This window comes from Homo sapiens, chromosome 3, assembly GCF_000001405.40.
Source record: "Homo sapiens chromosome 3, GRCh38.p14 Primary Assembly".
In the NCBI taxonomy this organism is placed as follows: domain Eukaryota; kingdom Metazoa; phylum Chordata; class Mammalia; order Primates; family Hominidae; genus Homo; species Homo sapiens.
In genome coordinates this window covers 48596197-48610996 of record NC_000003.12, presented here as the reverse complement: position 1 = coordinate 48610996, position 14800 = coordinate 48596197, and the positions used below count along the sequence as shown (strand labels likewise).

The 14800-nt window shown below is 53.9% G+C and overlaps 1 protein-coding gene and 1 non-coding gene across 2 annotated transcripts, besides 5 other annotated features; both read left to right on the top strand.

The window, feature by feature from the left end:
* Window positions 767-1281: an enhancer, noted in NCBI's record as "H3K27ac hESC enhancer chr3:48647149-48647663 (GRCh37/hg19 assembly coordinates)". NCBI's record gives its function as "activates a minimal SCP1, AML or CMV promoter by ChIP-STARR-seq in naive and primed H9 embryonic stem cells {active_cell/tissue: H9 hESC(naive and primed)}" and the evidence as "EXISTENCE:reporter gene assay evidence [ECO:0000049][PMID:30033119]".
* Window positions 961-1070: an enhancer, noted in NCBI's record as "active region_19839". NCBI's record gives its function as "activates an Ori minimal core promoter by ATAC-STARR-seq in GM12878 lymphoblastoid cells {active_cell/tissue: GM12878}" and the evidence as "EXISTENCE:reporter gene assay evidence [ECO:0000049][PMID:35858748]".
* UQCRC1 (ubiquinol-cytochrome c reductase core protein 1) lies at window positions 1351-11995 on the top strand. The gene is made up of 13 exons (NM_003365.3): window positions 1351-1445; window positions 1695-1835; window positions 5141-5227; window positions 6217-6346; window positions 6566-6764; window positions 7354-7433; window positions 9530-9645; window positions 9879-10022; window positions 10157-10317; window positions 10430-10515; window positions 10846-10934; window positions 11287-11362; window positions 11805-11995. The coding sequence occupies exons 1-13, from the start codon at window positions 1377-1379 to the stop codon at window positions 11867-11869; spliced, it is 1443 nt and encodes a 480-aa protein (NP_003356.2). The 5' UTR covers window positions 1351-1376; the 3' UTR covers window positions 11870-11995.
* Window positions 1361-1460: an enhancer, noted in NCBI's record as "active region_19838". NCBI's record gives its function as "activates an Ori minimal core promoter by ATAC-STARR-seq in GM12878 lymphoblastoid cells {active_cell/tissue: GM12878}" and the evidence as "EXISTENCE:reporter gene assay evidence [ECO:0000049][PMID:35858748]".
* Window positions 1631-1730: a silencer, noted in NCBI's record as "silent region_14334". NCBI's record gives its function as "represses an Ori minimal core promoter by ATAC-STARR-seq in GM12878 lymphoblastoid cells {active_cell/tissue: GM12878}" and the evidence as "EXISTENCE:reporter gene assay evidence [ECO:0000049][PMID:35858748]".
* SNORA94 (small nucleolar RNA, H/ACA box 94) lies at window positions 5847-6077 on the top strand. The gene has a single exon (NR_132776.1). It is a non-coding gene; the product is annotated as a small nucleolar RNA, H/ACA box 94 (small nucleolar RNA).
* Window positions 9465-9965: an enhancer, noted in NCBI's record as "H3K4me1 hESC enhancer chr3:48638465-48638965 (GRCh37/hg19 assembly coordinates)". NCBI's record gives its function as "activates a minimal SCP1, AML or CMV promoter by ChIP-STARR-seq in primed H9 embryonic stem cells {active_cell/tissue: H9 hESC(primed)}" and the evidence as "EXISTENCE:reporter gene assay evidence [ECO:0000049][PMID:30033119]".

Below are 14800 nucleotides of genomic sequence, written 5' to 3'. Positions count from 1 at the left end.
TACTCTTGCACCCAAACCTTGATGAGATTTATGCTCTAATGTAACTTCTGAGCACATTTGATGTAATTTCTGAGCACATGGAGAGCCGCCACCACCAGTGTATAAACTGTCGGAAACACTGCTTTGGAGCAGTCTAGCAGAAACTCCCTGAAAGGCTCTCCCGGGTTGCAATTCTTGGTAAGACTTCTGAATAGAACTAACTTTAAATATTTAAAAGCTTGTTTTTTTTTTTCTTTAGTTGACATAACAAAGCATACCTTAGAAGTCTTTTTTTTTTTTTTTTTTTTTTTTTGAGACGGAGTTTCGCTCTTGTTGCCCAGGCTGGAAATGGCGCGATCTCGGCTCACCGCAACCTCCGCCTCCCGGGTTCAAGTGATTCTCCTGCCTCAGCCTCTGGAGTAGCTAGGATTACAGGCATGCGCCACCACGCCCGTCTACTTTTGTATTTTTAGTAGAGACGGGGTTTCTCCATGTCGGTCAGGCTGGTCTCAAATTCCCGACCTCAGGTGATCCGCCCACCTCGGCCTTCCAAAGTGCTGGGATTACAGGCATGAGCCACTGCACCCAGCCAGAATTCTTTTTCCTCTTACAGAAAAGGAAAGGTTTCACCATGTTGGCCAGGCTGGTCTTGGACTCCTCGCCTCAAGTGATCCACCTGCCTCGGCCTCCCAAAGTGTTGGGATTACAGGAGTGAGCCACCGCTCCCGGCCTGTACTTAGTTCTTTTAAAGAGAAAACTGGCAGGGCGCAAAACTGGCCAACATGGAGAAACCTTGTCTCTTCTAAAGAAACAAAAATTACCGGGCATAATCCCAGCTACTCGGGAGGCTGAGGCAGGAGAATCGCTTGAAGCCGGGAGGCGGAGGTTGCAGTGAGCCGAGATCGCGCCATTGCACTCCAGCCTGGGCGACAGAGCGAGACCCTGTCTCAGAAAATAAAAAATAAATAAAGAGAAAAAAATACTGACTTTCAGCACCAACTTGTGGTCCCAGGTAAGTTTCCACGCTGGTACTTTAGCCCTGGGCTCGAACCTGCGGACACGCTGTGGCTGCAACTCCCCGCCCGCCAGACCTCAGTACGCAGCGCGGCTGGTGAGAAACATAATGCACTCTGACTTCCACGCGTGGAATGGGGAGATGGACTGCACGGCGGGCGGACCTGCTCGGGCTGATGGACGGCAGGTGGACTGATGTGCGCAGGGACTGGCGGCAGCGCGGTCAGAGCCAGTCAGCCAAAGCCAGGCCAGCACAATAGACTGTCCCGGTTCCCGCCAGGAGGCGGCCGAGCACCAACTGTACGGTACTGCGCCTGCGCCGCGACCGCCAACGCGCCCAGTCTACGCTTGCGCGGCGCAACAGGGCCGACTGCAGCTGGAAGATGGCGGCGTCCGTGGTCTGTCGGGCCGCTACCGCCGGGGCACAAGTGCTATTGCGCGCCCGCCGCTCGGTGAGGTGGTGGCGAGAGCGCGGGGCTTCGGGACAGGGCTTCGGGAAGCGGACAGGTGTGGGCTGTTAGCAGTGGCAGGTCGAGGTGGGGAGGACGCGGGGTCAGGGCCGTGGGAAGGTCACGGCGGAGGGCGGGGAAAGGTATCTCGCCGCTTGCCTAGGGGCGGGGTTCGGGGGTCCTCCTGAGGACCTGGGAGGTGGGGAGCGATCCCCTGACCGAGTCCTCACTCGCGGCTGTTCCCTTCCACAGCCGGCCCTGCTGCGGACGCCAGCCTTGCGGAGTACGGCAACCTTCGCTCAGGCGCTCCAGTTCGTGCCGGAGACGCAGGTTAGCCTGCTGGACAACGGCCTGCGTGTGGCCTCCGAGCAGTCCTCTCAGCCCACTTGCACGGTGAGTTGGGGACGCTTTTGGGGAGAGGGCCTCCAGGTTGGGCCTGCCGTCTTTTCCCTGGTTGGGGTGTGACCTTGGGCTCGAGTCTTCCCGTTTGTGGTTTGGGTTCGGACCCAGGACCACTCACCCCGAGAATGGCCCCATTCCCTACCCTAGCCACGCCTTGGCTTCACGGGACAATCTTCACTATAAGCCAACATTATTTAGCATATAATGCCCGTTAAGTAGGCGGCCAAATTCTTTTCCAGCCTTTTGTTAAGGAGCCCATATAAGGGAAGTGATCATGTCTCCTCTTATAATGCGGAAAATGGGATTCAGACACCTTAGGTGACTTGCAGGGGTCCAGGTCTGTCAGCCTCACTGCCCAAGGTCATAATCTCCAGGCTAGACCAGAAATACATTTTAGGAAGCAAATGCATTTTAACAGTACAATGAAATGTGTGATTTTCCAAAAAATACAAATTCTCTAAATTGACACAAGAAATCTTGAGTCACAGATAGATATATGAATAGGTGAGAAGATTCCCAAGAAATAATTATCTCCTCCTCCTTTCAGCCCCCAGCCCCAGGGCCAGATGTTTTTATTGACACATCCTTTTAGTTTTCCAGAAACAATGTCCTGCGATTTAAATTGTTACTAAGCATAGGAAAAGGTGGCCTGCAACTTCCTTGTTATATGTCACTTGTTATAGTAAAGAATGCTATATTACATGAACTCTAAAATGTGCTAGATTGTAAGGAGCTGTCTGTGCTCCAGTGCCAGAGAAAGAATCTCAAGAATCTTGCCAATTTTAATCAAAGGATACTATAGATTGTAAAATGCCTCTTGCATTCCAAGATGTTAGATGTGAAATACATGTTCATCTAAGATTGTGTGATATATGGTATATGCATTGACATCTCTTAGGAAAGCAAATATCACATGTTCTCACTTATCAGTGGGAGCTAAAAAATACGTACATACAGATGTAGAGAGTGGAATGATGGACAGTGAAGACTTGGAAGGATGAAGGGGTGGATGATGAGAAACTACTTAATGGGTCCAGGCCTGGAGGCTCACACCTGTAATCTCAGCACTTTGGGAGACCAAGGCAGGCGGATCAGCTGAGGCCAGGAGTTCAAGACCAGCCTGGCAAACATAGTGAAGCCCCATCTCTACTAAAAATACAAAAATTAGCCATGCATGGCACACGCCTGTAATCCCAGCTCCTGGGGAGACTGAGGCAAGAGAATCGCTTGAACCCGGGAGGCAGAGATTGCAGTGAGCCGAGATGGAGCCACTGCACTCCAGCCTGGGTGAGAGAGCGAGAGTCCATCTCAAAAAAAAAAAAAGAAATTACTTAATGGGTACAAGGTTTGTTATTCTGGTGATGGATAATTCAGAATCCCTGATTTGACTACTTGTGCATTCTGTGCCTGTAATGACATCACACTTGTGGGCGGGGCACAGTGGCTTACACCAGTAATTCCAGGGCTTTGAGAGGCCAAAGCAGGAGGATCGATTGAGCCCAGGAATAAGAGGTTGCAGTGAGCCATGATTATGTCACTGTACTCTGGCCTGGGTGACAGAGCAAGGCCCTCTGTCTTAAAAAAAAAAAAAAAGAAAAAAATGGAGTTTCAGGTGTGGATAGAAATTTCTAAAAATTGTGCTTGTACCCCATAAATTTATACAATAAAAAAAAGTCTTGGCTGGGCGCAGTGGCTCATGCCTATAATCCCAGCACTTTGGGAGACCGAGGCAGGCGGATCACGAGGTCAAGAGATTGAGACCATCCTGGCCAACATGGTGAAACCCCGCCTCTACTAAAAATACAAAAATTAGGCTAGACGCGGTGGCTCACGCCTGTAATCCCAGCACTTTGGGAGGCCGAGGCGGGCGAATCACAAGGTCAGGAGATTGAGACCATCCTGGCTAACACGGTGAAACCCCGTCTCTACTAAAAATACAAAAAATTAGCCGGGCGTGGTGGCGGGCGCCTGTAGTTCCAGCTACTCGGGAGGCTGAGGCAGGAGAATGCCATGAACCTGGGAGGCAGAGCTTGCAGTGAGCCAAGATCGCACCACTGCACTCCAGCCTGGGTGACAGAGCGAGACTCCGTCTCAAAAAAAAAACACACACACACAAAAAAACAAAAATTAGCTGGGCGTGGTGGTGCACGCCTGTAGTTCCAGCTACTCGGGAGGCTGAGGCGGGAGAATCACTTGAACCCAGGAAGCAGAGGTTGAGTGAGCCGACATCACACCACTGCACTCGTCTCGTGACAGAGTGAGACTCCATGTCAAAAAAAAAAAAAAGTACTTAGGAAAGTAGATGTGAAAAACTTAAATCAGCTGTGAACAAATAGTAAATTAAAAGACTAGACCGTGTGACCAAGTGGGGTGAGTGGTACGTGTTTCTTTTACATTTTTTTTTTTTTTTTGAGATGGAGTCTCTCTGTCACCCAGGCTGGAGTGCAGTGGCACGATCTTGGCTCACTACATCCTCTGCCTCTTGGGTTCAAGCAATTCTGCCTCAGCCTCCCAAGTAGCTAGGACTACAGGCACGTGCCACCACACCTGGCTAATTTTTGTATTTTTAGTAGAGACAGGGTTTCACTATATTGGCCAGGCTGGTCTCGAACTGCTGACCTCGTAATCCACCTGCCTTGGCCTCCCAAAGTGCTGGGATTACAGGTATAAGCCACCGCGCCCAGCCTGTGGTGCGTGTTTCACAGCAACCAGGAGGCTGTCAAGAAAATTAATATTACCTTATTGGGTGCCAAGGCAACACTGTTTGGTGTTCAGAGCTGATTAAAAACAACAACAAAAAAGATATTATAGGAACAATATTTAGTGTGATAAAATATACAGTCTAAACCAATAGTCCCTTCCTTAATGATGAAAGGATAAAATCATTGCCAGAACAAAGGCAGCGTGTAATTTTTAGAAAGGAAAAAATAAGTTGTTATTTGCAAATGATATGTTGTATGCTTAGACAAAAACAAATAATTAACTGAAAATTGAGAGTGAATTTAAGGATTTGTATGCTGGTGAGACCAGGTAAATGTGCACAGTTAGAAGTGTCCCTGTGGGTCCTTGATAGCCAATCAGGAGAGCAATGATGTGGTGTGACGAGTCATTCGGCTGCCCCTGTTTTCCAAGCATGACTGTGTCCCCAAGCACAGGGGTCCTGCTGGGGCAGCTCTCCCTGACTCCAGGATTCATAAGTCCCTGCCTGGGGCTTGTACTGAGTCACTCAGGTGGGGTGTGAGTAGGGGGCTGGGGAGTGGTTTGTTTGTAACCTTTTCTGGTGGCTTCTTGACCAGGTGGGAGTGTGGATTGATGTTGGCAGCCGTTTTGAGACTGAGAAGAATAATGGGGCAGGCTACTTTTTGGAGCATCTGGCTTTCAAGGTGAGGCTCTTAAAGTCTGTCTCCTCTGGGCTTAGGGCTGCCTGTTGTCCCTCCTGAGGATGAAGGTCAGAAAAATTAGCCTGATTATGGGCCTCAGTTGCGGGGCTGATGTCTGGCTGGCTTTCCTAAAAGGAGCCACATGAGCTTAACCTCTCCTGAGTGGGCACGTATCTGATGAGCCCCTGCCTGAGGCCCTCAGAGCCAAGAGGACCCAAGGAACCATAGGAGCCCCACTTTTCACCAGAGAAGCCAGGCCTGTGGAACACACGTAGATATGCACATGCATTTTAACAAACCCACAGACATGGGCATGCATGCTTGCTTATGAAATGTTCTTCTCTGGTGGAATATCTAGGCATCCCTTGGTTGTAAAGACCCATGTTTTTTAAAGGAATGAAAAACATGGAGAAGGATTATGGGGTGGGCAGGGCCATGGAGCCATAGTAGGCAACCTAGCCAGCTGCAATGTCACAGGTATGTGTGCAGAATTAACGTGTGTGTGCACACCAAGAGATAGCACCACTGTTCTCCACACACAGGACTAGGATTGGGTCCCACAGAGGCCACTAGCATGTATTCACAAACATACAGTCATGGGAATGGCATGGGAGGAGTGGGTTCTATCACTTGAACACAGGTGTGGGCTTACCTGACCATGGCTGTCAATAAGGAGGGGGGAGGTGTACTGGTAATGATCCCCACAGCTTGTTGGTAAGCTGTTACAGGAGCTTTAGGCAACACTTGCTCTGGCCATGCCCTTCAGTCCTGGCCCTGGCTATCTCTGTTCTGTTGGCGCATGATGCCATGGTTTTGGTCACCTCAAGGCCTGCTTAGTGCTTGGTAAACAGACTCTGGGATCTGTGTCCCCAGAGTCTATGCTGAGGGAGGTACCTGTGGACCAGTGGTCCTGCTGGGTGTTTAGCCTCTGAGGACAGGGTTCTTGGGTTCCTGTGTAGCTCCTGATTGTTCTGGTTGATATCTGGTTCCAGGGAACAAAGAATCGGCCTGGCAGTGCCCTGGAGAAGGAGGTGGAGAGCATGGGGGCCCATCTTAATGCCTACAGCACCCGGGAGCACACAGCTTACTACATCAAGGCGCTGTCCAAGGATCTGCCGAAAGGTAACACCTGGAGGAAGAGGCGGGGACAGAGGGCAGGGAAGCAGAGGACAGCTACCTAGGAGCCCCTGGCTGACCACAGAATCATATTACCCTTAGCGTATGGCTTTGCAGCTGGGCAACTAGGGGTGGGCAGCAGGAGATGCCAGGCCTGGGGATTTTGTGCTGTCGTTGGTCTGCAGTGGTCCACCTGGCACCTAAACATGTCCTCCTTGCATCTAGCTGTGGAGCTCCTGGGTGACATTGTGCAGAACTGTAGTCTGGAAGACTCACAGATTGAGAAGGAACGTGATGTGATCCTGCGGGAGATGCAGGAGAATGATGCATCTATGCGAGATGTGGTCTTTAACTACCTGCATGCCACAGCATTCCAGGGCACACCTCTAGCCCAGGCTGTGGAGGGGCCCAGTGAGAATGTCAGGTGAGAGTTGGCTGGCCTTGTGGGGGGATGCTTGCTCCATTCTGGCCTGGCCAGACCCTTTCCAGGTCACATTTTTAGTTGGCTAGCTGTCGGGGTTATTTTCCTGAGTTATGCAACTGGAGACAGTTTCTGTATCCATGTGGTCCAGTGAGTCTTTTTTAATGGCTTTGTGGGCTTCACTTGAATTTTGGGCTTTGTTTTAAGGTATGTTTTGGTGCATGTCCTGACAGTCCAAGGGCGAAGTGTCTGGGTGTCCCCTCCATGTGGTCTCTTGTCTCCTTTGTGGATGGCTCCGGGAGCTTTGATGCTGCCCTTTTGAGAGTCCCACAGTGTTGGCTCACGCCTTCTCAGAGAAGACTATGAGCCTGTCCTGAAGTCAGGCATGAGGCAAGGGCAGACAAGGGTTGCCCTCTGGGCCCTGGAGGGGTGGGTGGCAGAGACAGGGGAAGGGGGTTGGGGAGTGTGCTAGGGCCCACTCTTCGGAGAAACCATGCCTCTCCTAGTCTGCCTCCTCAGTCCCATTCATGCATGTACCCCAACTCACTCCAGTGTGGTAGAGGTGTTGACACACTGACCATATGTCTTGTAGGAAGCTGTCTCGTGCAGACTTGACCGAGTACCTCAGCACACATTACAAGGCCCCTCGAATGGTGCTGGCAGCAGCTGGAGGTGAGTGATGGAATCACTGAAGTCCTGGGTAGTGGGGTCCCAGCCTTGGTTATCAAAGCCGAGGTCCTGGTTCCCACCATAGGGGACCTTTCACCCCAGGGGACTCTGCTCCCACCCTAACCTTGAGGGGAATGACCTTCCTCCTGTGCTCTCTGAGGTGGGATAGGATTCTACCCTGCCGCCACCACTGGGACTGGTTACACAGGATGCTGTCCCTCTGGTACAGGTCTGTCTTAGCCCCACCTGGTTCTAGGATACTGAGTTCATGGGCTGGTAGGGGATGTAAGCTCCTGGCCTTGTTCCTTGTGGCCTTGCCCTTGGGAGAGCCAGCCATTAGTTGTGTGTTGATGCATGCCTGATAACAAACCAAGAAGTGCCTTGAAAGGAAGGCACAGAAGGGTGGGGAAGATTTCACTGGGGACTCAGAGTTGGAGTTTGGGGGAGGGGCTTTTTAAAGCACCTGTAGTTTGAACAGAAGCCTGAAAGGTGGTGAGTGTTATTTAGGTGGGGTGTGGGGAGCTGAGCGCAGGGGAAGAGCAGTGTCATGGTCTAAGGTTTGCTCTGCTGCTGTGTGGGGTCACAGTGCAGGTAGGCTGGCTAGAGAGGGGCTGTGGCAGGGACTGGGCAGGAGATGGCAGGAGCAAGGGGGAGCAGTAGATGGACTCCAGGTGGTTTTATAGATGGAACCTGGTTGGGGTCTGGACATGGGTAAGGAACTGAGGTCAAGGTGCTTCCCATCTTGGCTGGTCGTGGTGGCTCACGCCTGTAATCCTAGCACTTTGGAAGGCCGAGGTGGGTGAATCACCTGAGGTAAGGAGTTCGAGACCAGCCCAGCCAACGTGACAAAACCCCGTCTCTGGTAAAAATACAAAAATTAGCCAGGCTTGGTGGCAGTTGCCTATAATCCCAGCTACTTGGAAGGCTGAGGCAGGAGAATCCCTTGAACCCGGGGGACGGAGGTTGCAGCGAGCTGAGATTGTACCACTGCACTCCGGCCTGCACAACAGAGTGAAACTCCATCTCAAAAAAAAAAAAAAAAACAAACATGCTTCCCAGCTTATGACCTTGGCGGCTGAGTGTGCAGAAAAGACCAATAGGAAGAGCATGACCAGGGGCTTTGGAGCTGGGGAACCTGGGGGCAAGAGCAATCTGACGTGTGTGTCAGACTAGCAGGGCTTGAGCTCATGGAAGGAAGGAATGAAAGGCCAACGCAGGCCGGGCGCGGTGGCTCACGCCTGTAATCCCAGCACTTTGGGAGGCCGAGGCGGGCGGATCACAAGATCAGGAGCTCGAGACCATCCTGGCTAACACAGTGAAACCCCGTCTCTACTGAAAATACAAAAAAATTAGCCAGGCGTGGTGGCGGGCGCCTATAGTCCCAGCTACTCGGGAGGCTGAGGCAGGAGAATGGCGTGGACCCGGGAGGTGGAGCTTGCAGTTAGCTGAGATTGCACCACTGTGCTCCAGCCTGGGCAACAGAGCGAGACTCCGTCTCAAAAAAAAAAAAAAAGGCCAATGCAACTGGTGGCACCACAGAGCCCTCCTCTTGTGGAGGTGAGGAGGCAAGATCCAAGGAGTCCTAGGGTATACGTTTGTAACATTATTTGCAAATGTCCCCAGCTCTCAGGGGACCCAAGAGCTAATCACAGCCCTGTAATAGCTCCTCTTTCTGCCCCCTCACTTGCCACCCCCTGCAGGGCCAGCAGCCAGAAATACTTGAGGGAGAGCTAGAGGGAAAAGGCAGGCCAGGTGGCTTTGTGCCCAGGAGTACCAGTCTTGTCCTTGATGTAGGTGGAATGCATCTTCTCAAGTGAGAACCCACACTTGGATCACATGGCAGCCCATTTTGAAACTCTGAACGCTTTTGCTCTCCTGGGACTGAGGCCATGGGAGCTATTTGGCCCTGAGGTGCCTGTCCTGTCCACAAGGCAGGGTCTGTCTGAGGAGGACCTTCTTTCCTCACCCTGTTCTAATGTCACATACTCCTGGTTTCTCCCACTAAGACAGGACATGGGGGTCCTCTGCCTGTCTGTGAATCGCCCCACCCTGTGCCTTGGGCCCTGGCTGGTCAGTAATGCCACTGTCTGTCTCAGCAGGAGTGGAGCACCAGCAACTGTTAGACCTCGCCCAGAAGCACCTCGGTGGCATCCCATGGACATATGCAGAGGACGCTGTGCCCACTCTTACTCCATGCCGCTTCACTGGCAGTGAGGTATGCTGCCTTTTGGGCAGGAGTAGTGCTCAGCTGGGGGCCTGTGGGAGGACCCCCATGTGCATGGTTATCCTGGTGACTCCAGAGATACCTCAGCAGTTGGGAAGGGGTTCTGTGGCTGCTGCATCACAGGCACACATGTTCACACACATACACCCTCTACCCACACCTGCCACCTTTTCTGTTCCCCTGGCAGTCTGGCTGTTCCTCAGCCTTGTCATGTACTGTTTCAGATCCGCCACCGTGATGATGCTCTACCTTTTGCCCACGTGGCCATTGCAGTAGAGGGTCCTGGCTGGGCCAGCCCGGACAATGTGGCCTTGCAAGTGGCCAATGCCATCATCGGCCACTATGACTGCACTTATGGTGGTGGCGTGGTGAGTGCCAGCGCGAGCATGGGACCTCGCCTTCAGGGAAGAGAGGGTGCTGGGGCTGTGTGCTCCTGTGCGTGGGGGTCACAGTGTGCGTTGAAGACAAGAGGGTGGGTGCTGACCACCTATCCCCCTGGCAGCACCTGTCCAGCCCACTGGCTTCAGGTGCTGTGGCCAACAAGCTATGCCAGAGTTTCCAGACCTTCAGCATCTGCTATGCAGAGACGGGCTTGCTGGGTGCACACTTTGTCTGTGACCGAATGAAAATCGATGACATGATGTTCGTCCTGCAAGGGCAGTGGTAAGTGGCAGCCTGGTATTCCTAGGTGGGATGGCGGCTTTAACCAGCACAGTGGGAGGCTGAGAGATGACACACTGGCTCAGAATGAATACCACCCACCCCCCCACTTTAGGATGCGCCTGTGTACCAGTGCCACGGAGAGTGAGGTGGCCCGGGGCAAAAACATCCTCAGAAATGCCCTGGTATCTCATCTAGATGGTGAGTCCTACAGCTCAGCGGGGAGGGGTAGAGTACATCTTGCCAGCGACAGCACCAAGGTGGCCACTGCTCCTAACTAACCAAGGTTAGAAAGGAAAACTTTGAAGACCACGCCATGCCCCATCACCCCACCCTTGGAGATGCAGGCAGGTGTGAGACAGGTCCACAGCCCATCACTGCCATAATAGGTGACCATAGAAGAGAGGGCTGTGATCTGAGTCAGCATGAGGTCAGGGAGGTCCTTGTCAACCTGAGGCTGGAGATTGTTTGTGTACCTGTGGGTCCAGGATTGGGCTGGGTGGACCTCTGAGCCTTCTCTCACCCTTAAAGGCACTACTCCTGTGTGTGAGGACATCGGACGCAGCCTCCTGACCTATGGCCGCCGCATCCCCCTGGCTGAATGGGAAAGCCGGATTGCGGTAACATGGACCCCTGGGAGAGGTTCTGGAGTCTTGGCCTGGCAGACACCTGGGAGGTGTAGGGTTGGGGCCTGGCATAGCGCAGCCTGCTCCTATAGGCATCCCTGGTGTCCTAGGCAGCTGTCACCTGCAGGGGTAGCATAGTGGGAGGGCAGGGCATAGGTGCTGATGGCTGTGGAGATGGGCGGGGCCCATGGAGGTCTATAGCAGGGATCCCTTCTGCCTTTCCTCTTTTGGGCTGGGGACAGCTGCATGCTGCCTGTGGGAGATCTCTGCTAGTTGGATGATGCTGACTGGCTGAGGTGGTGGCCAGGTGCCCGTTAGCCAGTATGCCCTCTGCCTCACCCTGCAGGAGGTGGATGCCAGTGTGGTACGTGAGATCTGCTCCAAGTACATCTATGACCAGTGCCCAGCAGTGGCTGGATATGGTAAGTGGCCTAGGGGGTCTGCTCTTTGTTTATTTCCTCAGGCCGTTCTCTTGGCCTCCCCTTCCACCTCTGCTCCCGCACTGCTGCTCAGCTTACAGAGCAGCCAGTTAAGGCCCCAAGCAGCTCTCCCCAGTCCCCTGGCTGCCAGGGAGTTCTTGCTCAGAAAACCTGTCCCAGCAGTTCCTTGACTGCCTGCCAAGGTGCCTTCATCAATACCCTGCACCCGTCAGGTAACGGGCACCTCCATGTGGGGTGGGGCTTCAAGGGCCAGAACATGAAGGGACAGGCTCAGCACCCCTGGGGGAATGTTCTCTCCTCTCTTTCCACTCAAAGCCTGTCTTGTGCTGCTCTGGGCAGCATCTCCGAGCTGGGTGCGGCACAGGGCCAGGTGTCCCTGTGCAGGCCAGGTACCCCACCCTGACGCTCCACCCTATCCCCACAGGCCCCATTGAGCAGCTCCCAGACTACAACCGGATCCGTAGCGGCATGTTCTGGCTGCGCTTCTAGGCGGGAAGCCTATGTAAGCAAGAGGGCAGGGCCGGGGTTTGTGGTCCCCCCCCCACCACAAACACAGCACTTCGGCTCCTCTAACCTGTGCCACAGGTGACCACCAATAAAATCCTCTGCTGAGAAGTGTGTCATCCCTCTTTTGGCATTGGCATGGAGTCCATGGGGCAGTAGATGGGGAGCAAGGACTTCCCTCTAGTTCTGTGGCTCCTGGATCCTCCTGCCTTCCCACAGGCTGATGTGTCCTCAGCCAGGGGCAAGCGTGGGGGTTGCAGCTGAGGCCGGAAGTCTTTGATGCCTACAGGGAGCTGAGCCCAGATGTTTCCACTCAGCCACTTAGGGGAGTTCCTCAGCCAGCTGGTCCCAAGATTGGGCTGTGGGAGTCCATAGGAAGTGTAAACCCAGCCTTTGCCCCTGTAGGAGTCCCAGCCTGGAATCCCTGCAGGCTCAGGTGGGAAACCCCTCACTGTGGACCTTGTGCCAAGTCACCCCCTGGTGGTCCCTGGTGGACCAGAAGGGGCCAAGGGGTGTCTCCAAGGATGCCTCTTGTGTGTGTTTACTCTGCATTCTGGGAGGAGGATAGCCTGGGGCATAGTGTTCTCATTTGGTTTCTAACTGCTGCCTGGACAAGCAGGGCAGGAATCCTTTGCCTCCGCTGACTCAGGCTCCAAGAATAGCCCTGAGCTCAGTGGGGCCCGAGCCCCCTCCCTCTACTACATTTGTCCCAGGCAAGTCCAGAGCTGCTGGCCTGACAATCCCCTCCCCATTTTCCTGAGGCAGCCAGGACCTGGTACAGCTCTTAGCTACCTAGTCCCTCTGTTATCTCTTTTGGCTCTGGTCCCCATGGTGGGTGCGCAGGTAGGCTGCTCCTCCTGCACCCCCCAGTGCTTCCACAGTCAGGTTCTCTGGGATCCCAGGGGGAAGTTGAAAGCGAGGGGCCCAATTTTCCTTTGAGGAAGTCGCTGCCTGGCAGTCACAAGCAGGGTGCTGGGACAAGGTCTTTTAGAAGATGGCTGTTCAGAAGTCCCCCCAGCATCGTAGCTTGGAAGTAGCCCAAGGAACCCTTGTATCACTATCACCCTGCCCCACTGCCTTTCCCTCACCATTGGTTGCCATACGTTGCCAATTCGGAGACATTTGTTAAGCACCTTCTACGGCCCGGGACTGGGGCATTGCGCAGATCATTCTACTTTGTGAACGGCTGGAGAGAAGATGCTGGGCAGCGCAGAACCCTGACAGGCCCAACCCTGGGTGCTCATGGAGGTGCAACACCCAGGCAGGGGAACAAGTGCCAAGTCTGTTGTCAAGTTTGAGCTCCTGGAGGATGGGGCTTCATTTCTAAGCCCAGCCTGGCCCTTAGAGGCTACAGGTGTGCTGGACACGAGAGCTTGAGTTGCTGGGAGTGGTCTGGTTCTAAGGGACCTTGCGTACCAAGCCAGGGACTCTGGTCTTTACCCTGGAGCCATGCTGGGGAGGTGTGTTGGAGGTTACTGTGAAGAGAAGTGACTTGGTCAGAGTTGAGATTCAGCATGGGGACTCTCAGGCCATATTTCTGTATCAGTCTTGGTGAGCTGTGCTGTGGCAGAACAGAGGTCATGGCCACACGAACTGGAGCCAGCTGTAGGGGACACAAAGAGGACTACATTCCCAGCAGGGCTGGGAGACGCGGAGGCACGAGTGGGTTGGAGGAGGGTAATCTTCCATAGTCCAGTGAGGAGTTTGGTGGTGTCCAGGGTACAGTGGGATGTGTGGGGCTGGGACCTGATAAAGAGGCCCTGGTTGGAAACAGATGGGGTGAGGTAGTGACTGAGGCCAGGGAAGGAAATGTTCAGGGAAAGCTTGGGAGGGAGAAGGATGTGCTCTGGGGGCTCCACCGCCCTGATGGGGTTGCAGGTAGGCACTGGCCTCGGGCTGTGCCCTAGGCTGTGTTCCTCCCAGGAGGCCAGAGCTGGGGCTTCAGAGGGCCACACTCCTGCTCGTGAGTCTCATAGAAGCTCCAGACGTGGAGTCATTCCAACCTTACTCCTACCTTCTCAACAGCCTCTCCCAGCACCCTTTGAGAGACCCTCTCACAGCAGCCTGTCCTTTCTTTTGGAGGCACCTCAATTCTGATGAGGTTTGCCTGAGCACCCACCCTCCCAGCTGGGCCTCCTGTCTCCCCTAAGACTGGCCCACGTGTGCACATATGTCTGTACCGTACTGTCCATGCCACTGGCCTGCTCTTGCCCGCCCTGGCTGCACGGGAGGAGGTGACAGTCTTAGGGGGAAGGGGCTGCCTGTGTGATAACATACCTGGTTCTCTGCAGCCCCCCACCTGGAGCACACCTTGCAGGGATGGGGGGTCCTGGGACATGGCTGAGGAGACCCTGACCTTGGAATAAGGTCATAGCACTATGCCCCAGGATAGTTTGGGGGGTCAGTAATAAGGGATAGAGCCCCAGCCTTCCTTGGGCAATAGGAAAGCAGGCAGCATGGATGGTCTTCACTGCCTCCAGCTCTGGCCACACCAGAGTCCTCGGGCTGTGGAGGAGTCCAGCCAGTGCTGTCCCCATATCTCCCTGTGGATCCCAGGGGAGGCTGTGGGGCCGGGCATATTAGAAGGGGCCCAGCAGCCTTGGTGAGTATAGATGTGCTTTCTGGGCTGCCCAGAGTTATTCAGGATTAGCAGGAAAAAAAGGGGGAGCAGGACCCAGATGGGGGCCTGCCCTTCTTAGCAGTGCCTCTCTGCCTTAGTGTCACCCATCTAATGGAGAGATATGCATATACAGAGCCCCACCTCCTTCGGACAGTGGCCCTGGCGTGGTGTGTGTTGGAGGACTGTCCACAGCCTCAGAAGCGAAGCTGGGGGAGGGTGTGAAGTCAGCCTGGGTAAGGGGACAGGAGTAAGGTAGGGGGCAGTTATGAAGCTGGAAGCTACAGGTACCATGAGGG